This window comes from Homo sapiens, chromosome 8 (genome assembly GCF_000001405.40).
Source record: "Homo sapiens chromosome 8, GRCh38.p14 Primary Assembly".
NCBI lineage: Eukaryota > Metazoa > Chordata > Mammalia > Primates > Hominidae > Homo > Homo sapiens.
This window is the reverse complement of record NC_000008.11, coordinates 73,419,132-73,441,610: the sequence shown is the minus strand read 5'-3', so window position 1 is coordinate 73,441,610 and position 22,479 is coordinate 73,419,132. Positions and strand designations below refer to the sequence as shown.

The 22,479-nt window shown below is 44.6% G+C and overlaps 1 protein-coding gene and 1 long non-coding RNA gene across 5 annotated transcripts in view; one reads left to right on the top strand and one right to left on the bottom strand.

The window, feature by feature from the left end:
- STAU2 (staufen double-stranded RNA binding protein 2) overlaps positions 1–21,242 on the top strand; it is a 327,112-nt gene extending 305,870 nt beyond the window's left edge. For all 4 annotated transcript variants that reach the window (NM_001164383.2, NM_001164382.2, NM_001164381.2 and 1 more), the window contains 2 exons: positions 18,909–18,997; positions 20,146–21,242. In NM_001164383.2, coding sequence (NP_001157855.1) covers positions 18,909–18,997; positions 20,146–20,239 — 183 coding nt within the window. In that variant the 3' untranslated portion in view covers positions 20,240–21,242. The remainder of the gene's footprint in view (positions 1–18,908; positions 18,998–20,145) is intronic.
- STAU2-AS1 (STAU2 antisense RNA 1) lies at positions 93–21,537 on the bottom strand. The gene is made up of 3 exons (NR_038406.1): positions 21,372–21,537; positions 2,507–2,679; positions 93–1,821 (listed from the first exon to the last, which is right to left on the bottom strand). It is a non-coding gene; the product is annotated as an STAU2 antisense RNA 1 (long non-coding RNA).
- Between the last annotated feature and the right edge of the window lie 942 nt (positions 21,538–22,479).

Genomic DNA, 22,479 nt, shown 5'->3' with positions numbered 1-22,479 from the left:
TCTTTCAGTCATTCAGCCAATAAGTGTCTATGGAGGGTCTACAATTCTAGATGTTGAGTATTCAGCAATGAATAAAGCAGAAAATTTCTGCCTTCATGGAACTTACTTTCTTTCTTTCTTTTGGCTCACTGCAGCCTCCACCTCCCAGGTTCAAGCGATTCTCCTGCCTCAGCCTCCCGAGTAGCTGAGATTACAGGTGCATGCCACCACACCCGGCAAATTTTTGTATTTTTAGTAGAGACAGGGTTTCACCACGTTGACCAGGCTGGTCTCAAACTCCTGACCTCAGGTGATCTGCCTGCCTCAGCCTCCCAAAGTGCTGGGATTACAGGTGTGAGCCACCACGCCTGGCCAGAACTTACTTGCTAATGGAAGACACAGATACTAAACAAGTAAATGGTTAAATATATAATAGAATTTTAGACAGCAATAAAATTTTAATGAAATCTTGCTAAAAGTGAGGCAGCGTGAGGAGCTATGAGAATATAAGGGTAGGAGTGGGGTGGTTCAACTCCTTTAGATCCAGGGGTCACAAGGAGGGGACACTGGAGAAGAGACCTGGATGAAGCGAGTGAGCCATGTGAACTGGGAGGGGTGTCTCCTGTCTAAGGAAAAGCACAGGAAAGTCCTTGAGACAGGAGTGAATTCAGGGAGTTCTAAGAAGAGCCAAGAGGCTGATGTGCTGGAGATCCGGGGGCTGGGAGCATGTGGTAGGCGATGATCCGTGGGCTGGGAGCACGAGGTAGGTAATGAGCCTGGAGCTGTAAATGGGGCAGGATCATGTAGGGCTTTGGGGCTGTAGTCAGGAGTCTGGGTTTTGTTCTAAGAGAAATGAGAAGCCCCTGGAGGATTTGAATAGGGTGGTGACCGGTTCTTATTTACATTTCAAAAAAATCACTCTGGTTATATGCAAAGGGTTGGCTTTGGGTGAGCAGGGATGCACACAGGGATGCACACAGGGGTGCGAGTTAGGAAGGTACAGCTTGTGTCTCTGGGAGAGACTGACAGTGGCTTGGGCTAGAACCATAGCAGAGCATGTGGTGAGAAGTAGCCTCCGAGTACATTTCAAAAAAGAACCAACAGAATTTGCTAATGGGTTTGATGTGGGAGATGAGAGAGAATGAAAGCAAGTGAGGCTGATTGCTAGGGTTTTTGCCTGAGCAACTGGTGGAACGGGGACACCATTTTCTTAGGGAAGAGTGGTTTGGGGATGGTAATCAAGTTTCGTTTTGGGCAGGTTTGAAATGCTTATGAGACATCTAAGTGGAGAAATCCACTAGGCACTTAGACAAGTGAATTCTAGGGCAGGAGGCCAGGCTAAAGATAGGGATTTGGAGCTATCAGTATTTCTAAGGGATTTAAGCCATCGGCCTCAGTGAAATCATCCAGGGAGAGAATTTTGATGGAGAAGATAAGAGGTCCAAGGATGGGCTTGAAAAGTCAGGAAGAAGGAAAAGCCAGCTGCACAGGAGACCAAGAGCTGAAGTAGGAGGAAAAGCAAGATGGCAGCGGTTTCCAGAAGCCAAGCAAAATCTGGTCTTCCCATATTAAGAAAAAAATGGAAGCGGCTGATTAACACCCTCTCAGGTCCTGCACCCTGAGCTTCGCTCTTAAGAGGCTCCAGGACATGGTCGGGCTCTTGATGTATCTTGAGCACTCAGGTGACACGTTCTCTCACTGGACTGAGGTGGGATGATATAGGTAGTTCAGAATTCAGCTCCAGAACCAGGCTGCCTGAGTCCAAATTCCAGATCTATCAGGAGCAAGCCATATGGCCTTGTACAAATGACTTCCTCTAGGTCTCCGTCTCCTCGTCTTTAACTGCGAATGAGAGTCAAACCAACCTGTTGTGGTTACTGTGAAGATTAAGTGAGTTAGGAGATGGCAAGTCCTTAGAACAGAATGAATGCTTCATCAGCAGAAGATGCTTTCCTATTTACTAATTGAGATTTGTACTTGCTCAAGGTCATATGACCGGTAAGAGTTGGAGCTGCTCATTGAGCCCAAGTTTGTTCAGCTGCGAATCTCAGCCTCTTTCCCACCCCTGTCACTGCGGCCTCTACCTCCCGGGTTCAAGCAATTCTCCTGCCTCAGGCTCTTGAGTAGCTGGGATTACAGGCGTGCACCCCCATGTGAGGCTAATTTTTGTATTTTTCAGTAGAGATGGGGTTTCACCATGTTGGCCAGGCTGGTCTCGAACTCCTCACCTCAAGTGATCTGCCCGCCTCGGCCTCCCAAAGTGCTGGGATTACAGGCATGAGCCACCATGCCCAGTCAAATCTTAGCCTCTTAACCAGCTTGCTGTCCTGCCTTCACACAGGATTCAGGGAGCTGGAGATAGTGCTTGACTTTTGCATGCAATGCGGGTGCTGGAGCAGCTCCTGCCAGCTCACGGTGCCAGCTGTGCACATGTCTTCCCAACTGCGCATCAGCCAGGGTGGAGGTGTTAACAGATGCTACACTTAGTGATTTTCTCCCCACGAAGAGTCAGTTGTTAAATATTTACCAGCACAATACTGTCCATGGAGAACCCCCTGGGAAGTCCAGACACATCCATCAGTTAATTCCCATGGTAGGATGGTTTTGCTGATGCAGTCTTCTAAACGGAGACGTTGAGGAACCAGGTATAGAGGCTTTCTCACATGACCAGTGGTGAAGGTCAGGTCCAAATGTGTCCTCCTAACAGCGGGAAGGAAGACAGCTTTTACCAGCAAATCAAGCTCCCCACACATTAGGTAGTTCTGAACGCCACCTCTCTGATAGCCCTTCTCACGTTGCAAATTTGCTGGTGCTGTTTACCTATGTGGCCTTGTCCCCGTTAGCGGGCCTAACCCTGAGTATCAGGGAGCCTGAAAGATGAGAGGCCTACACAGCCACCTGCCTCCCATCTGACATTTGGCCCAAGGTAGTAGGCGTCACCCAGTCTTAGCATCTAGCTTGCCCTCGCTGGACACAAGATTCCTTCCTGTTTTGAGCCCGAATCCGTTTGCCTGCAGCTTCCACTCCCTGGGCTTGGCCCAGCCTTCCCCAGAATAAGGCATTGCCCTTTACTGCACCACAGCTTTGAAACTGCCTGGGACACTCACGGTGTCCTGGATTCCCACTCGCCCTGGTGGCTGCAGCCAATCTGAGTGGCTTTGCGCCCCAGCTCCCTGTGGCTCACCCCAAATGCTGCCTCTCTGGGACACCTCCATTTCCTCCAGGGTGACTTGAGCACCACCTCTTGGTGTCATTGCTGTATGTCCTTTCCTCACAGCTGTCTGGTTCCACTGCCGTCGCTGTCCTGCCTGTCTCCCTGCTGGGACACATGCCATGGAAAGGTGATGACTGTCTGTTAGCGCCCAGCGTGGTGCCTGGTTCTCCATGAGTGTTTGTTGAATGCATGGCCATACCCCAGTAGTGAGTCAGACAGGCCAGCCCCTTCCTTCAGAAATAATGACAGACTGAGACAAGTGCTATGAGGGAAATAAGCACAGTCCTGTGATTTGTTGGGGGGCACACTCTAGACAGAGTGGTCAGTGGAGGCCTCCCTGGAGCTGAGACCTGGAGCTGATGAGCAGCCAGTGGAGAAGGGATGGCCAGAGGGACTAGCCAGCGGGAATCCCTGAGGCAGGAGGGAGCTTGTCCCAGCAGAGGGACAGAAAGGAGCCCAGCACAGAGCGGAGGAGTAACGGGGGCATGGTGCGTGATTGCCTTCCAAGGGCAGGGGAGGCTGCTGAAGGGTGTAGGTGGGAGGTGGCCTGATCCTGCTGCGAAGAGGCCACTGCAGCAGGAGGGCGAGCTCTTCTCTTCTTGCCTGACTGGCCCGTGAGGAGTGGGCAGAGGCAACCGAAGGTCCCCTGGCACCTGGGCCGCTCTTCTCAGGCCCAGCCTCCCCTCCCCAGGCATCTCAGCCAGACCCTTACCTTTCCCTGGGCCCATCACCAACCTTACACCTCAGTGTGACTTTCAGTCCCCCTTAAAAAGATGTATATTCATTTTTCCATGACTGTGGTGACAAATTGCCACAAACATGGTGGTTTAAACCAACAGCAATGTGTGATCTTGCAGTTCTATAGGTCAGAAGTCTCCCATGGACTCGCTGGAGCTATTGAGGTGTCCCCACGGCTGAGTTCCTTTCTGGAGGCTCTAGGGGAGAAGCCGTTTCCTTGCCTTTCCAGATTCTAGTGGCCACTGCATTCCTGGGTTCATGGCCCCTTCCTCCAAGTACAGAGCCAGTAATGACCCATCCCTCACACCCTTCTCCGATCATCATGTCTCTATCTCTGTCCTCAGCTGGGAAAGGTTCTTTAATTTTAAGCACTTGTGTGATTAGATTGGGCCCACCTGTATAATCCTGGCTACTTGTCCCATCTCCAGGTACTTAACCTGATGATATCTGCAAAGTTGCCTTGCCAGGTAAAGTAACATACCACAGGTGACATGGATTAGGACATGGGCATCTTTGGGGGCCCTTATCCTGCCCACAACAGAACTCCTAGATCTTAAAGGATCAATCAATCAAATACAGTGTGTGAACTGTCAGGATGTAGATTCAAAAACTGACTTTAAAGGACATTGTTGAGACTATCAAGGAAATGTTCGCATAGGAATTTAGATGATATAAAGGATTTAGAGTTAATATTGTTAGGTGTGTTAATGGCATGTATCTTTACCTGATATTTGATTTGGAATATTACAGGAAAAACATGGAGTGAGACACCTGAAACAAGATTGGCAAAATAGACCAGGCACGGTGCCTGACACCTGTAATCCCAGCACTTTGGGAGGTTGAGGCGGGCAGATCACCTGAGGTCAGGAGTTTGAGACCAGCCCGGCCAACATGGTGAAAACCCGTCTCTACTGAAAATACAAAAATCAGCTGGGTGTGGTGGTGCATGCCTGTAATCTCAGTTACTTGGGAGGCTGAGGAGGGAGAATTGCTTGAACCCAGGAGGTGGAGGTTGCAGTGAGCCGAGATCGCGCCACTGCACTCCAGCCTGGGTGACAGAGTAAGACTCTGTCTCAAAATAAATAAATAAATAAATAAATAAATAAATAAAAAATTGGCAAAATACTGATAATTCATCTGGGTGATGGATGAGGGAGCTTCAGTGTATTATTATCCTTTGTACTTTTGCAAAGGTTTAGAACTTTTATTTTTAAAAGCTGAAAAATATAAATAGATAAATATACGTGTAAAATCAGGTATAAGAGGAGGTTAAGGAGAGAAATTTGGGACGGAGCAAAGGTCTGTTCTAGCTCCGTCTTTGCTGTCCTCCCACCACTAGGATGGCCACCAAATGTCCCAAGAAAAACGTCAGGCTCACTGCATCCCTCACCCACTGAGAGAAACTGCCTTTACCATCTTTTATGCTGGGGCCTCTATTTCAATAAAACCAATATTCAGAATTAAACAGAACTTCAAAGCTTATCTTGTTTGACCATCACCCCCTCTCCCCAGCCCTCCCACATGCAATCCAGGAATATGCTAAGTGCAGCAAAAATGATGAAATAACCGTAATGTAAGGTTTTATCAATTGCTTACTCAAACCAAAATGAAATTCCTAAGTAGAGCTGTCTGTGCCCATGTTCAGCAGGAATGCTTCACATTTTTGTTGGAGTCGAATATCAAAGGACCAAGAAATCTCAAACAGACCTTCCAAGTGGTGAGGGGTGAGGGGTGGAGGCAGAACTCAGCCATGATTGCCCTACAGACCCAGGCTCCTCTCGGGCGAGAGGTGCTTCCCTCAGGTCCCTCTGGTTCAGGATGTGCCACCACCAAGGTTTTAGGCAAAACCCCAATTGTGGAGTCCTCCCAGATAAGGTTTCCCAGGCATCTCCTTTGCAGACCCCAGACTGGCCTGAAGAGGGCAAAACACTTGTTTCAGACCTCGAAGATGAGAGAAGATTGAGATCTCAGATGACTGACATCTCAAAAAGACAGTAACTATTATCCATATTCCTTGGAGGTAAATTATGGGGCAGGAACATTTCTCTCGGACAAGATAGATACAACCCAGTCCTGCTTCCTAGGACTTTTTATCCCTTTGCATTTTGGCCGCAGAGCCCAAGGGTGGGGTTGAGGGGTGTGTTAGAGGCGGAGAGAAATATGGAGTGCTACCTGCTGAGAGGAAAGCCAACCAGGGCAAGATGCTGGCTCTGAGAACAGACAGAACAGAATAAGACCCCTGTCTGCGAGCACCTGTCTTCCTGGGGGAACTTCAGATGGAAGTGGATGGGTCATCAGCTGAGGAATATTTTTTGAGGATGTTCTGTGGACACACTGTGGAGATTTCAAAGAGGGAAGGGGCCCCACCAGCCAAGGGTTTACCAGCTACCTGGGAGACAAGACGCAAACATATCAAAGGTGACTCACAGTTTAGAGAGGCAAATGGCAGGCACTGTTAGGAACCCAGAGGGAGGCAGGTGGGAAATTAGGGACATCCACCTGGAGAAGCAGAAAAGACTGCAGGGGCGAAGGTGTGGAGACAGTGGGCAGACCAACCTCAGCAGGGCAGAAGGTCCAGGGGGGGCATCTCCATACCAGCTGGCCAGGGAGCGTGTGGATAACGCTGACATCTGCCAGGTGTTCCTGAGGCTAGGGACTGGTCTCCTGGGTTGGGGTTCACACTCTGGGAAATGGACTGGCACTCAATGAGGTTGTGAGGTAGAATGGGGCCAGCCAATGGGGGCCTTGAATGCTGGGGCAAAGATATGGAATGTGATTCTAGGGGCGGGAGTTATTAATGGCTTTTGATTGAGAGAGTGGCTTAATGATAGGATTCTCTTAGGAAGACAAGTGAGAGAGCAATGGGCTGAAGGAATGAACAAAAATACAAAGGAAATTGAACTTAAATTAATATGGAGTGAGAAAGGGAGTGTAAAGAATTTCATGACTGGATGTTGGACTCAAGAGAGAGCAAAAGAGAGAAAGATGTGTAATGAAAGCCCTCATTTATTAAACACCACTATGGTCAAGGCATTCACCTCTCAGATAATCCGGTGCAGTCACGTAGCCTTCAGCTTACAAATGATGAAAAAGAGGCTCAGAGAGATAAAATGACTTGCATAAGGACACACAGCTGGTCTGCAGTAGAGCTGGAGTTTTAATCCAAGTCTAACAGACTCCACATGCCAAGCCCTCTCCCTTCCTTGTTCAGGTGACAGGGAGAGTGTATTCATTTTCTCTTGCTACCTTAACGAATTGCCACAGACCTAGTGGCTTAAAACAACACAAATGTGTGATCTTGGAATTCTGTAGGCCAGAAGTCAGACAGGTGTCTCACTGGGCTAAAATCAGGAGTCAGCACTGCCTTTTTGGAGGCTCTAGGGGAGAATCCACCTCCTTTCCTTTTTCAGCGTCTAGAGGCCGGCCACTCACATTCCTTGTGTTGAGTCAAGGAATGTGAGTGGCCTCTAGAAGCTGAAAGCCCTCTTCCTCCATCTTCAAAACCAGCAACATTGCCTTTCTTGGACCCTTTGTCCCTAGCCACATCTTTCTCTCTGACCACAGCCAGGAAATGTTCTCTGACTTTAAGCACTTGTGTCATTGCAGTGGACCCCGGGAGAACCCAAGGCTAACCTTCCCACGTCACCATTCATACCTTCATCTCATGCACAGAGTCCCTTTTGCCATGGGAAGTAATGTGTTCACAGGCTCTGAGGATTAGGACGTGGGCATCTGGGGCGCTACGATTCTGCCCGCCACACAGAGTGAGCGTGCCGTGTGGACTCGTGCCTCAGCAGCAGGTGGATGTGCCCGCAGCTCTGTTTCAGTAAGCCCCGTGACAAAGGGGACTTTGTGTTGAATCAAAAATAATTAAATAGGCCAGGCACGGTGGCTCACGCCTGTAATCCCAACACTTTGGGCGGCTGGGGCAGATGGATCGCTTGAGAGCCCAGGAGTTCGAGACCAGCCTGGCCAACATGGCGAAACCATGTCTCTGCTAAAAACACAAAAATTTCTCAGGCATAGTGATGCACGCCTCTAATCCCAGCTACTCGGGAGGCTGAGGCACAAGAATCGCTTGAACCCGGGAAGCGTAGATTGCAGTGAGCTGATATTGTGCCACTGCACTCTAGCCTGGGCAACAGAGCCAGACTCTGTCAAAAAAAAAAAAAAAAAGGCGGGGCGTGATGGCTCACACCTTTAATCCCAGCGCTTTGGGAGGCCGAGGTGGGCGGATCATGAGGTCAGGAGATCGAGACCATCCTGGCCAACATGGTGAAACCCCATCTCTACTAAAAATACAAAAAATTAGCTGGGTGTCGTGGCGGGTGCCTGTAGTCCCAGCTACTTGGGAGGCTGAGGCAGGAGAATCGCTTGAACCCGGGAGGCGGAGGTTCCAGTGAGCCGAGATTGCACCATTGCACTCCAGCCTGGCAACAGAGCAAGACTCCATCTCAAAAAATAAATAAATAAATAAATGACAAAACCCAGGAATTTGAAAAGGAATAATATTAGGAAAACAGCCTGGTTAGAGGAAGGCCTAGTAGCGAGGACTCTGCACTCAACATTTGTTCTAAGCACAGAACACATTCTGTGCAGTTACTCCTGCTGTCAGTTCCACTCTGCGTTGTTGTCAAGGCTAGCAGCTACACCATCATCCTTCTAAGAGCTTGACTGCAGAAATAAAGGCAGTGGCTAGGTCTGTGATTTAAGTGCTCGATTTTAAATGAATTCCCCAAATTCTAGAGTGAAAACACCTGTTCTTCATCTTAGGCAACTGTCTAAAATCTATGTGTCTCTCCGACCACCTACTCCTCTATTTTTTTTATGAGTAACCACCACCTTAGCAGGCAGATGCTCCTTTGTTCCAAGGGTAAGCCGTTTTAGAAAGTACCAATTTTATGGAAATTACCTGAACTGATAGGATCGTGGAAGCATGAATAAAAAGTGCAGGCTATAATGAAATTATTAGAAAACAGGGCAGCAAGTGGGTTAACTCAAGCTCAATATAATCCTTTTTTTATTTAACAAAAAGTCATATCATTGATTCATCTGAAATGTAATAGACTGAAGAGCCTATCGTAAAGTTTTAAGTTTAGAAATATACAAATGTCTTTTTGGTTTCTCTTATTTTATATAAAAAGAGACACAGTATTTAATTACAGACCTTTCAAAGAAAGAAAAGGATAACTTAGAAATATTAATATTGACATACTTTGGACAATAAACTTTCAAGCTTATTGAAGAACCTTCTGGTTTTTCAGTTATTTTTATGATTTAATATAGATTCAGTATCAGAGATTGCTGGGATGAGAAATTAGGAGAATACTCAACTGCAGATGAAGACATTTACATTCAAAACCTCTCATTTCCTTGTGAAAGGAGACGGATTTAATTAACTGCATATATGACTACTGTGTTCATTTTGAGGTGAATCTAGCAGTTAGATCAGCTCCCAGGAGGAGTTCAACATGAACAAGCTTTTCAGGGAGAAAAGGCAAAACAAACCAAACTTTGAACACTTAAAAAATGAAGGCCACATTTAGACATATTTTGTTACCATCGACTTTAATGGGAACTACTTGTCTATTTCTGGGAACCAGAATATGACGTCAGTGGGGAAAGACTGAAATGGAAAAAGACAAAATAAAAAGATCCATTGGACATCAATGCTCAAAGACTCCACAAAGAACTACGTGTCACAAGGGGATAAGTTAATACCCACATGTTGCTAATGAAGACTGCCATTATCTCTCAGAGAATGGCCGAATGCTGCTACATTGTCGTTACAAACTGTTTAGTCCTGAAGAAAGAAGCAGGGCTGGTTTCAACACTATTTGCAAATTGCTAATTGACAACAGGAAAGTTAGAAATTACAGACATGACTGGACTCACCTCCATTCTGTGAGCACACACACACACACAGGCGTGCGTGCGCAAACCAAGGCCAACAAATAGGCATGAAAAGTATCTTATTGGCATCATGTTTCTCCATTGCTATAACTACGTACAAAACAAGCGATACATGAAATGGTAGAGACACCTGTTCTAAAACCTGTGGGGCTTTACTCACAAAACAGTTGTAAAATCTTTGGGGGACAAAAATATTTCTTGTATCTATGCAGATGCTTTCCTCTAAGGGACGGACACACATACAGATACGCACACACAGTCACATGCAAATGAATATGTGTTGACCTGAAAAGACAGGAATAAGGAAAGGAAATGTCATCCACTTCTCTAAAATGCTTCTTTAATTTTTCTCCTTCAAAGGAAGCTACATTTATTGCTTTAGATGTACCTTTTATTTCTTTTTTTAAAATCCTGGAACATATTAATTGTCATAAAGCTGAGTTTAAGATTCCAGTTAGTAGGCTGTGGTAAAATACAAGTAGATGCTAAATGTGTTTGTTTTGATTTGCTAGGAAAACATCTTCTGAGCTGGGAAATGAAATCATTTAGTTGTCCATTTGTTTATGGCCAAAGACTTATGGAGCGTTCTGGATGCTTATGTTAGTGTATCTTTGAAATTCTCTAATCTGCGGCGTGTGGGAAGTTACACAGCTTGGATTTAAGCATCATTCAGGATGTTCCTCATTAAGGAACCCAGATTTGCCTTCTTCCCACAACTCCCCAAGATTAGTTTACACTTACTACACAGCAAATTGTCCATGTTGAAAGTGAACTGCAGATGGTAGGATTTAAACACCTTGTTATCAATTTACCCACTCAGTAAATACAAAGTTTAGAGCTTGCTTCTTAATCAGGCTTCAAGTATGTCTTCCAAAATGAAGGTTATTTGCTTTTTCTCTCATTCCAAAGTGTCTTTTAATATTATGTAGCATATTTATAATGCTTTGAATTTTTAAAGCAACTGGCCTCTAGCAAGTTAACAATTTATTCTGTTAGAGTAGTTTAAACATGAGGATATTGTTGATTTTACCATCTTCTGAACAGGTTTGGAGGTATGTAGTAAAACATTTTTGTGGACTGTTAAATTTCAGTGTTTGTTCACAAAGCCACTACATTATATGTTCTTTGAAATCATCAATCTGATAGCAAAAGCTCACTCTGCTTGCCAGCTTCAGTATATACTTGGGTCTTGCTAAAGGTAGTGTGGCTCTTACAGGTATTGGCATGATCCTGTAGAAAGAGAAGCAAACTCATCTCTTTCCATAGCGTTCTTTAATCTGTAAAGTGTTGTTTCTGGGAAAATAGGGGGTGATGAAGTGTGAGAGGAGAGCCCTGATTCCTTGAGCTCATGGTGAGCAGGGAGGCAGCCGCTCTGAGGGTTCTGTCCGTACCTGTGAGAGGGGTACCTGGTCGGCAGGCCCTGCCCACTCTGTTTTCCTGAACATGTTGAGCTTGTTGCTATCTGTACATCACAGTTAAACCCTTCACCCTTGATTTTTATTCGCTTCACCTTTGCAATCCCAGTGCCTCTTCTCACTGCAGCATCCTACATGCCACAAGCCCAGCAAAACCCTGGGGCTTCTCCCTCCTGCTAGAAACCACAGGAAAGTAAGAAATGAAAAAGAATTTTCAGAGAAATGGAGGAGGGAACAAGATACTCAGAATGTGAAGAAATGGAGAATCCAGTAGTCTTGTCTCTGGCCACTGGGTAACAAAACCCAAGTGACAAAATAATTAGTAATTTAGTTTTAGCCAAAATTGCAAGTGTTACGGAAGTGCTGAGCGAAGCCTCGGAAGTCAACCCAGGGCTGGAAGCGGACTGCTGACGGGACACTGTGTGCTCCCCACAAAACAATCAACCCCTTTTCTAGAAAATGGAGATAATTTTATGAGCTTACCTCAAGTAATTATTTGTGAGAAACAATAGAATGAGTGTGGAAGAGGTAATGAGTGATTTTGAAATATTAATATTAAAAGAAACTCTGCTGAAATCAGGTATCTGGAACGTGAGCGGCTTTAAATTTGGAGGAAATAAAGAGACATGAGCCACGCCTGTGATCCCAGCACTTTGAAAGGCCAAGGCGGGAGGGTTGCTTGAGCTTGGGAGTTTGAGACCAGCCTGGTGACATAGCAGGACTTTGTCCCTACTAGAAATAAAAAAAAAAATTTAGCCAGGTATGGTGGTGCCTGCCTGTAGTCCCAGCTGCTTGAGAGGCTGAGGTGGGAGAATCACTCGAGCTTGGGAGGTCTAGGCTGCAGCGAGCCATGATCACACCACTGCACTCCAGCGTGAGCAACAGAGTGAGACTTTGCCTCAAAAAAAAAAAAAAAAAAAAAAAAAAAAAAAAAAAAAGACCTGAGCAAGAATATAGATTGGTTTCAAATCTCTGCTCTGCCACTTATTAGCTGTGTGACCTTAAGTAGGTTACTGAATTCTCTGAGCCTCTGTTTCCTTATGGGTAGGAACTATCTCACAAGGCTGTGATAACAACTCAGGTCATGGCAGGTAAAGGGCCAGTCCCATGACAATGGCGGAGTGATGCTCATCGAATGGTAGCTATTACTGTTTACATAGGTTAAGATAAATCGGTCACCACTGCCTCTTATAAATTGAAAAGAAATCCCTCTCATACTTATAAGCTATTGTATTCAGGGTTATCAGTGAGATGTGGGTTGAGTTATCTGATCAGGTAGATAAGGGACTGCCCCTTGGAAGCTTTTAAGCATACCTGTGGAGGAGAGCAGCCACGCAAGAATTCTGAAAATCCATTCGTGGCATCAAGTGAGAGAGCACGCCGCCATTCCAGACTCTAGGACATTCTTGGAGGGATGACGATCATTTTGACAGTGCACGGGGGACCTGCCTGGCATGTTGATAAAATCGTCCAGGAGATTTTGCAAGAGCTAAAACGCTGAAGCTGCTCCCTGAGACCTGGCCTTCGTCTCATATATGCAGTTCTCTTCAGATGGAAGAGAGCAGGTGCCATGGGTCCTGGACTGGGTGAAGCAGGTCATTTGGTTCTGGTGTTCAGGCCACACTAAGAACCAAGTATTCCCAGTGTACCTAGTGAAAACAGGCTATAAGTAGCCTAAAAACGATTTTTTAAAAGATTTTTAAAAATTGTTTTTAGTTGTTGTTTTGCCCTTGCTAGGAATAAAACAGGACCGAGAAGCCCTAGAGCTCGTAGGAACCCCATTCAGCAGTATCACATTGCACAGTTCCATTTCCTGGCTCTCAGTAGCCCTCTGTGATGGTGCTTTTGGGATCCAGCACTGTCACATCTGGGTATTTACCTAAAAAGTTTGAAATTTGTGTGTCAAGAGATATCTGCACCCTCATGTTTATTGCAACAGTATTCACAATAGCAAAGATGTGGGATCAACCTAAATGTCCATTAATGGATGAATGGAAAAAGAAAATGTGGTATATAGACACAATGGAATATGTTCAGCTTTTAAAAAGGAAGAAATTATGTCATTTGCAACAACATGGATAGAATTGGAGAACATTATGCTAAGTGAAATATGCCAAACATAGACAAATCCCACATGTTCTCATTTATATGTGAGATATAAAACAATTGAACTCCCAGAAGCAGAGAGTACAGTGGTGGGTACAGAGGCTGGGGGTAGGTGGAATGGGAAAATGATAGTCAAAGGGTACAAAGTCTCAGTCAGATAAAAAGGATAAGTTTGATTTTTTTGGACATCTACTGCACAGTGTGGTGAATATAGCTAACAGTTGAGTACTGCACATTTTGATATTGCTCTGAGAGTATATTTCAGGTGTTGTCATCACAGAAAATGTTAAATAATTTATCATTATGTTACAAAAAATAATAAAATTTCAAATGTAATTGTCCACTTTGGAAGAAATTCATAAATTTCAGAATTTATGCCAATAATTCACATTTTAATGGCTCAGAAGAAAAGTAACTGGTCTTTTGTTAAAACTGTTGAATATACAAAGAACTTGAAGTTCATGAGCCCACTCCGTGAAAATGGGAATATCTGGAAAAAGGTCTGGCATGGATTGGTCCTTGGAGCCTACAAGTGAGTGAGCCTGGCCTTTAGCGCCCCACGCGCATGTGTGAGGTGGGACAGTGGGCCCCGGTTGATGGACACAGGCTGTGGGCACATGCACTGCCCTCAGCATAGCCGCCTTAGCACTTCAGGACTTAAAAGGACCTCAGAGTCACTGAATCAAAGCTCCCTGAGAGTCAAATTCCTCTGTGAATTCCTTTCTTGCAGGGAGGGTGGGGAGAACTGTCCAAACCTCAGTCTTTTGAGGGTGAGTTTAATTTTTGAAAACAGCAAAACTTCAGACAAAGCCAAGTCTAGTGAAGAAGGTCAACAACCAGGATGAACACATTAAAATAAGGTGGGGCCAAAAGATGACAAAACTGGTTTGCTTCTCTGACCCACAAAATGGTTCTGAGAGGTAATTCCAGAAGCACCTAGAGTAACACCCTCCTCCCACTGCTGCTGCCGGCACAACCTCTCCAAGGGTGGATAGAGAGCTCATATTAACATCTTTAAGGCTGGGCACAGTGGCTCACGCATGTAATCCTAGCACTTTGGGAGGCTGAGGCAGGCGGGTCACCTGAGGTCGGGAGTTCGAGACCAGCCTGACCAACATGGAGAAACCCCATCTCTACTAAAAACACAAAAGTAATCTGGCGTGGTGGTGCATGCCTGTAATCCCAGCTACTCGGGAGGCTGAGGCAGGAGAATCGCTTGAACCCGGGAGGCAGAGGTTGTGGTGGGCCGAGTTCACGCCATTGCACTCCAGCCTGGGCAACAAGAGCAAAACTCTGTCTCAAAAAAAAAAAAAAAAAAATCTTTAAAAATGGACATCATCTTTGGCTCAGAAATGCAATTTTAGGAATTTATCATAAGGAAAGTATTGAGATGATGCATAAAGATTGAACCAATAGGAAATTTGATGCAGTGTTGGTATCACACAGGATATCGATAGGATACTGTGCAGTCATGAGAAATGATGCTACCGAAATGTTTCTGTTGATACTGCACACATTCAATGAAAAGAGCACACAACAGATGAACGGACAAAAAACCATGGTATATGTATACAATGGAATACTACTCGGCCGTAAAAAAAGAATGAAATCCTGTCATTTATGGCCATGTGGATGAAACTGGGCGAATGTGAAGTGAAATGAGCAGGGCACAGAAAGTTAAACACCACTTGTTCTTGCTCATGTGTGGAAGCTAAAAAGGTTGATCTTACAGAAGTAAAAAGTAGAACAGAGGATATTAGAGGTTGGGAAGGGTAGGGGGAAGAGAGGGATAGGGAGAAATTTATTAAAGGATACAAAATTATAGCTAGATATGAGGAATAAGTTCTATTGCTCTATACCACTGTAGAAAGACTATAGTTAACAGTAATATGTTCTATAGTTTCAAGCAGCTAGAAGGAGAATATTGTATGAACCCAACAAAAAGAAATGATAAATGTTTGAGATGATTGATGTACTAATTACCTTGATCTGATCACTATGCATTATGTGTATTGCAACATTGTTACCCACCCCATGAATGTGTACAATTATTATTTATCATTGAAAAAAAAAAAAGCAGGTTACCTACAGTGTTAAGACATGATCCAGGCTACAGTTTGTAGACATGGGGAGAGGATACTAAGTGATATGGAGGCTGGGGGCAGAGGCGCATGCCTGTAATCCCAATACTTTGGGAGGCTGGGGCAGGTGGATCACTTGAGGCTAGGAGTTCAAGACCAGCCTGGCCAACATGGTGCAACCCTGTCTCTACTAAAAGTACAAACATTAGCTGGGTGTGGTGGCTCATGCCTGTAATCCCAACTACTCAGGAGGCTGAGGTGCAAGAATTGCTTGAACCCAGGAAGTGGAGGTTGCAGTGAGTCAAGATCACACCACTGCACTCCAGCCTGGGTGACAGAGTAAGACTCCATCTCAAAAAAAAAGAGAGAAAAAAAACAAGTGATATGGAAAGACGTGCGCCAAGATGTGAATGGTGAGCAGGATTGTGGATACTTTTTACATTCTTTTTGCTTGTCTATATATTCTGACTTTTCTGTAACAAAAAACTATTTTTATAACAAAAAATAATACAGGGAGAGAGAGAGAAGAGAGAGAGAGAGAGAGATTTTGCTATCCTTAAAGAGAAGCTATGAGGTCCCTGTACAGTTTGCTGGAGCTGCTGTAGTAAAGTACTACCAACTGAGTGGCTTCATCAACAGGAGTGTATTGTCTCACAGTTCTGGAGGCTAGAAGTTCAAGATCAAGGTGCTGGCAGGGCTGGTTCCTTCTGAAGGCTGTGAGGGAGAATCTGTCCCAGGCCCCTCTCCTCACTTCGAGTGCTTTGCTGGCAATCTTTGGTGTTCCTTGGCTGCTGCGGCATCACTCCAGCCCCTACCACCATCTTCACGTGGCGTTCTCCCTGTGTGGGTCTGTGTTCCAGTTTCCTCTTTTTATAAGGATACCAGTTATATTGGATCAGGGACCTACCCTACTCCAGTATGACCTCATCTTAACTAATTACATCTGTACTAATCCTATTTTTAAATAAGGCCACATTCTATAAGGCCCCATTCTGAGATACTGGGGGTTAGGACTTCAACATATGAATTTGGGGGAAGAGCACAATTCGACCTATAACAGTATCCAGGGAGATGGCCACACAGCTCCCACCCCACTGAAGTTAGCGCCTACCTCCCATCAAAACCCACCTGGCTGTTGTCCAGCATGAGCATGGGCCAGGATCAGGAGCTATGGGGTGGCATCACTGACCTTCTCCCTGCAGCACTCCAGGTCCAAAGAGATTATGATGATAACTGAGACTTGAGCACCACATCCTCCCTGCTTCGGGATGCCCGGGCCAGGGCTGCAGATCTGCATGGGCACTCACATTAGCACCTCTGATCTAGGAAGCCTGATTTAAAGATTTGAAAGGAAGGAGTAATCTAAAGAAAAAGAAAGGACGCATGCCGACTTTTGCTTGGATATAGGATTTGTGATTAAAAAGCAACAATAGAAAAGCAAGAGAGAAGAAAGAAAAAAGTATTATGAATATTACACATTAAATTCCACATATGGATGTTTATAGCAGTTTTATTCATAGTTGCCAAAAACTGGAAACAATCAAGATGTCCTTCAATAAGTGAACGGACAAACTGTGGTGCATCCATGCGATGGGACATTATTCAGCAATAAAAAGGAGCTACGAAGCTCATTTATGAAAAGCCATATCGTTCACAAAAAGAGGGGCCGGGTGCAGTGGCTCACACCTGTAATCCCAGCAGTTTGGGAGGCCAAGGTGGGTGGATCACCCGAGGTCAGGAGTTCGAGACCAGCCTGGCCAACATGGTGAAACCCCGTCTCTACTAAAAATACAAAAATTAGCTGGGTGTGGTGGTGCAGGCCTGCAGTCCCAGCTACTTGGGAGGCTGAGGCAGTAGAATCACTTGAACCCAGGAGGCAGAGGTTGCAGTGAGCCCAGATCGTGCCACTGCACTCCAGCCTGGGCGACAGAGTAAGACTCAGTCAAAAAAAAAAAAAAAAAAAGACATAGAGGAGCTTCAAATATACATTGCTAAGTGAAAAAGCCAATCTGAAAAGGTGACATATTGTATGATCCCAACTGCTATATGGCAAAACTGTAGCGATGGTAAAAAGATTGGTGGTTGCCAGGGGGCTGGTGGGGGTGGGGGGAGGTGAATAGGTGGGGCACAGAGGATTTGTAGGGCTGTGGAACTATTTTATATGATACTCTAATGGTGGATAAATGCCATTAGGCATTTGTTGAAACCCACAGAATGTACCACACAGAGTGAACCCTTATGTAAACCATGGACTTCAGTTAATGATAAGCTATCAATATTTGTTCATCAGCTATAACAAATGTACCATACCAATGCAAGATGTTAATGATTGGGGAAACCGTATTTAGGGGAGGGAAGAATATGGGAACTCTGTGTACTACCTGCCCAAGTTTTCTGTAAACCTCACAAGACTATTAACTAAAAAAGAATCACACCTCCAAAATATATTCTGAATAAAGAAACTTAAAGGAAATCATGCACTTAGTCAGCTACCCTAAAGGAGCTCTTGGCAGATAAAAGTTTGGGAAACCGCCAAGAGCTAGCTCGTTTTCAAAGGCAGCTGAGAAGACACAGATGCCCCAAGTGTGACCCAGCGGGATGCCCCAGGATGAAAACAGCCCTGCCTGCTCATGCCCATCTCAGACTCAGCAGAGCCCTTCCAATCTCACTCAGCAGTGTCGGGCTTGGGGGAGGGGAGGAAGACCCAAATTCTTACTCAAAGAAATAACAGTTTGGAACATGCACAAGAGTGTCAACAAGTTATGTAGATCTTATCAGCATGGCATTTTTGGTGCCTCCCAGCTATACAGCAAGGCTCCACCAGCCTGTTCACACCCTGCGGCTTCCCACGCACCCCGAGCCTATCAACACCTCGGGAGGCTCTGCCCGGCAGGCCTGCCTCCCCAGAACATGACCAGCCCAAACTTTCTCTCTTTCCTCATCCTCTCAGGATCCCATCTTACCATCCATCCCCTCAGTCTGCATGAGGACCTACTGTCCATTCCTCTGCTGACATTCTGTACCTTGACTGGGGCTAAGTGTCTATCAATTTGAACAATACCTTTATGCTTACTTTGGAAAGAATACTCAAGGTGGAAAATTTGGATGTCACACCTGAGAGAAGAGAATGTGTAGTTTCAGTAACGTGAGAAATTATGCAATGTCACCATGGAAGTATTTTAAGCTTATATGAGGTGTTGCCATGTTTGCAGATAAAACATCACAATTTTGCAAAACTGTGGAGAAGGGATAAGGCAGGAGACTTAAAGCCCTTCTAGTTCCGGTTATGTATATACACTGCTGCCTGATCATGCAGACTTTCTAGTGTACTTTTGTTAAACAATGCAAAAAAAAATTATGTAGACTAATGAAAATGAGTCTTTCTATCTCAGCTTTCTTTCAGTTACTTGTTCATTACACTAGAGTCAGTGAATGGCTCTCTCTGTTTGTTTTCATTTTTAGGCAGCCTTAAGTGCCTTGAAACAATTTTCTGAACAAGGACTGGATCCAATCGATGGAGCAATGAATATCGAAAAAGGTTCTCTTGAAAAGTGAGTAAATCCCCTGTCAGTATTCTTACACTTTTAATTGTAACTGTACAAAAGATAAGACATAGATAATAATGTTTTAAAAAGTCGACAATAGTATCTACATCTTACACAATTATTAATAATACAATTAAATGTAAAGAAATGAAAACCAGTATATATGGCCATATACATCTCCTGTAATATTTCTGTGAAAGTTTTAACCTACTAATTGGTCACTGATTTTGCATTTCATTGCTTTGTTGGAAATATTTGTGCATTGTCCTGACTGTAGAGACTTGTAAAACTTACAAAACATTGTTTTTCACTTCATACTGTAGAGCATTGTCTGGCTAAGCCATTTTCAGCGGTGAAAGTTTTCACTCACATTCCTGCTAAGTTGTGGGCAAAGCGGAGAGAAAAGAAAAAGAAGTTGAGAGGAGGCGCCCCTCCCCTCGGCTGCATTCGGTTTTCCGTGTTGTTTTCTATGAAACACCAGCACACATTGCCACAAAGTGTGGCTCCCAAGGGCTACACGGGCAAAAGATGCAGCTGTCGTAATTATTTCTGAAATCCAGCTCATAGCTTTGCTTTAATGAGATGTGAACAGAAGGTCTCACCAAAGAGACTGAATTTGGGGTCTCTCCAGAGACTCAATTTATACTAAAAAAAAAAAAAAAATGGAAAGGGGTTATATTTATATAGTAGAATTCAACCTCTTTCCAAGCAGTAATAATAGCAGGTAGGATCTCAGAACACATGCAGGAGATAACATTTTTAGGTTTAAAAGAAAATAAAAATAGTCAACCCAGGAAGTAAAAACCAGATACACTGATCTTACAGTTAAATGAGCATTCCAAAAAATTTTTAATAAGAAAAAACAGCATTTGGTTGTTAATATTTAGAAGGTGAGAGCGTGAGAAGAAAACATTTGGTAAACAGACATGGCATTTTAAGTTGTCTATAGATTGTCAACCATTTATAAGCTAATTTAATCAAAAACATTTCCACATGATCTCATCAGTAGACTATCTGAACATAAATATTGTTGTTTCACTTTAAAATGTCACTTTTGTGGTGACCTTTGAATCCTCTGTGCCATCTGCTAATAAACATGTCTGAAGATGTGCAACCCCAGGCCTTCAGCTCTTGTTAATGTATTAATCTTTCAGACAAGCCAAGCATCTGAGAGAGAAAGCGGACAATAACCAGGCACCCCCGGGCTCCATCGCTCAGGACTGCAAGAAATCAAACTCGGCCGTCTAGCAGCTCCCAGAACCCGCGGCTGCCACCGCATCCTTATAAACCTGTCAGCACGCATGAGGGTGTCTGTGTTCAGGGAAATGAATGACTAATACCATTATTTGAGTCTTATGTGAAGACAACACTATTCTAACACGAGAGATAATATACATGGTACTGTTTATTCAACTGGGGAAAAATAAAACTTTGAGCATTTCCCTTGGAACTCGAGATCAGATCATAACTCATTTGCCTAGAGGCAGCAGAAATCTGATCCTGCTACTGGAGCTTAAAATAACAAGTAAAGAAAAGTGTTAGAAACAAAGCTAAAATTTTAACATGATTAATAATAGAGAAGTTGGGTTTGGTTCTGTTGTTATGATTGTTTTGTCGTGGTGCTTGTGTTCAGTTATATTCTCTCTCTCTCTCATTTCAAATACTGCTTGACAATTCGAAAATGAACCAATGATGTGCTGTGGAATGTGATGGTTGTCTTCATATAGAGTCACATGGTTTCTCTTTTTATGCAGATATTTATAATCTTCATCCTATATCAGTAGGAATAACTATAAGGTGCACTACAAAAAGATGTATGCAAACAAACATGTTTTAAATCAGGTCAGATATCTGATGAAAAATACGAACTAATGTTAAGAGCAAGTAGTTTCAACATACTCCAGGAACTGAGAAACAAAACAAAGCAATTGTGGGTTTTGAGCTCCATATACTCTTAGCAAGTAAGGGGGCGTCTTGCCCCTATATATCATCTTCCCGGATTCCACTCCCTGTTGTGGGAATCGCGCCCACCCCCATCCGTGTGTTGTAGCCACTCACGGTTTGCATCAAGAGTGTTTTTTGTAACTGCCTCTGGACTTGGGACAGTGAGTAGGATCAAAAATAAATAATGTACATGACGGGGAAGGGAAAAACCTGTTGGAGTTGCTTCCAGCCAGCCACGCTCCGGGCCAGCATGTTGGAATCCAGCGTGGAGCAGATGCAGTAAAAATGTGGTTGGTTTCTGTGTGAAGCGCTGTTGTTGTTCTTTTGTTCTCTCACTCTCATCTTTTAAATATCACCTCCGTGAAACCCATCCGAAAGGCCACCACCCGGCCTAGTCACTGCCCAGCAGTGGGATTAGAGAATGGATAGGCTGTACCTGAGAAACTGCAGAGCCGCCTCCTGGGTGACTCGGGCCGGGTTCCTGGCCAACGTCATCGCATTGTTCAGGCTTTCTCCTTATTGATTTGCAAACATTGTGCAATGAGAAAACACTACATGGTCTAACTGCTCGACCCAACATGACAATAGGAATATAATTATGTAAGATTTCACAAGCAAAACCACCACAAATCATGATCTGGCTGACTCACACGCGACTGGAGAATAAACAAACAGCAACATAAGGAAATAACTCTAGGGTTGTTTTTAATGATTCCCATGTGGGGAAGTCCGTCAGTATTGGGAGGGCTGGGTGCCCTTGGAGGAAATAGGTTATGTTACATAAAGCTGAGTCCTTGCGAAAAAAAGCAGCACATTTGTAAAGTTGGGGCTCACAAAGGTAAACTGGATGGAAACCCAGTCCTGCTGCCTGACACCAGGGCGCAGATGGCCCTAAATCATTCCCTTTGAAGGGCGCAGGCCCTTCCTTCTGCTAGGCCTTCGCCACCTGAGGTTTAGACCCTCAAATGGGGCGAGGGACTGCTTCAGGCAGGATCATTGAAGTGGATCTTCAGTTTACCCAATGCAATAAACACAGGCTCCCTCCGGCAGCCCACATCAAACTACACCAAGGCTGTCAGGTCTATAGGAGAGCAATGAGCTCCGGGAACAAACCCAGCTAATCAGTTCTCACGACGCACGTATCTGAAGGATTTAACTCTTGAGCTGTCTGACACAGCTTATCCTTAGATAAGTCACCCTTAGACCCGATATATCCATGAATACAGCAATGGTGGTGGGGGCGAGGGAATGGAAATTTGCATAGGAGCTCAAGCTTAGTGATAGCTTATTTATTCAAATCCCATCCTCTCTACCTGCTCACAGAGTCCAGGAAGGCCTTCGGGTATTTTCTCCTGCACAGCAGCACTTCCTGGGAACCGCCTGGGTTTTCTTTGGGTTGAATTACCAATGCAGATGATGGGTGGCCTGCAGTTGTTGGCAGGGACCCGCTGCAACGCTCGGTTCCAAAGAGCAATGTTATATATCATTAGAGGGAAACCATTAAGTAGATTTATTGAAAGTATGTTTCTTCGGCACAAGGAGAT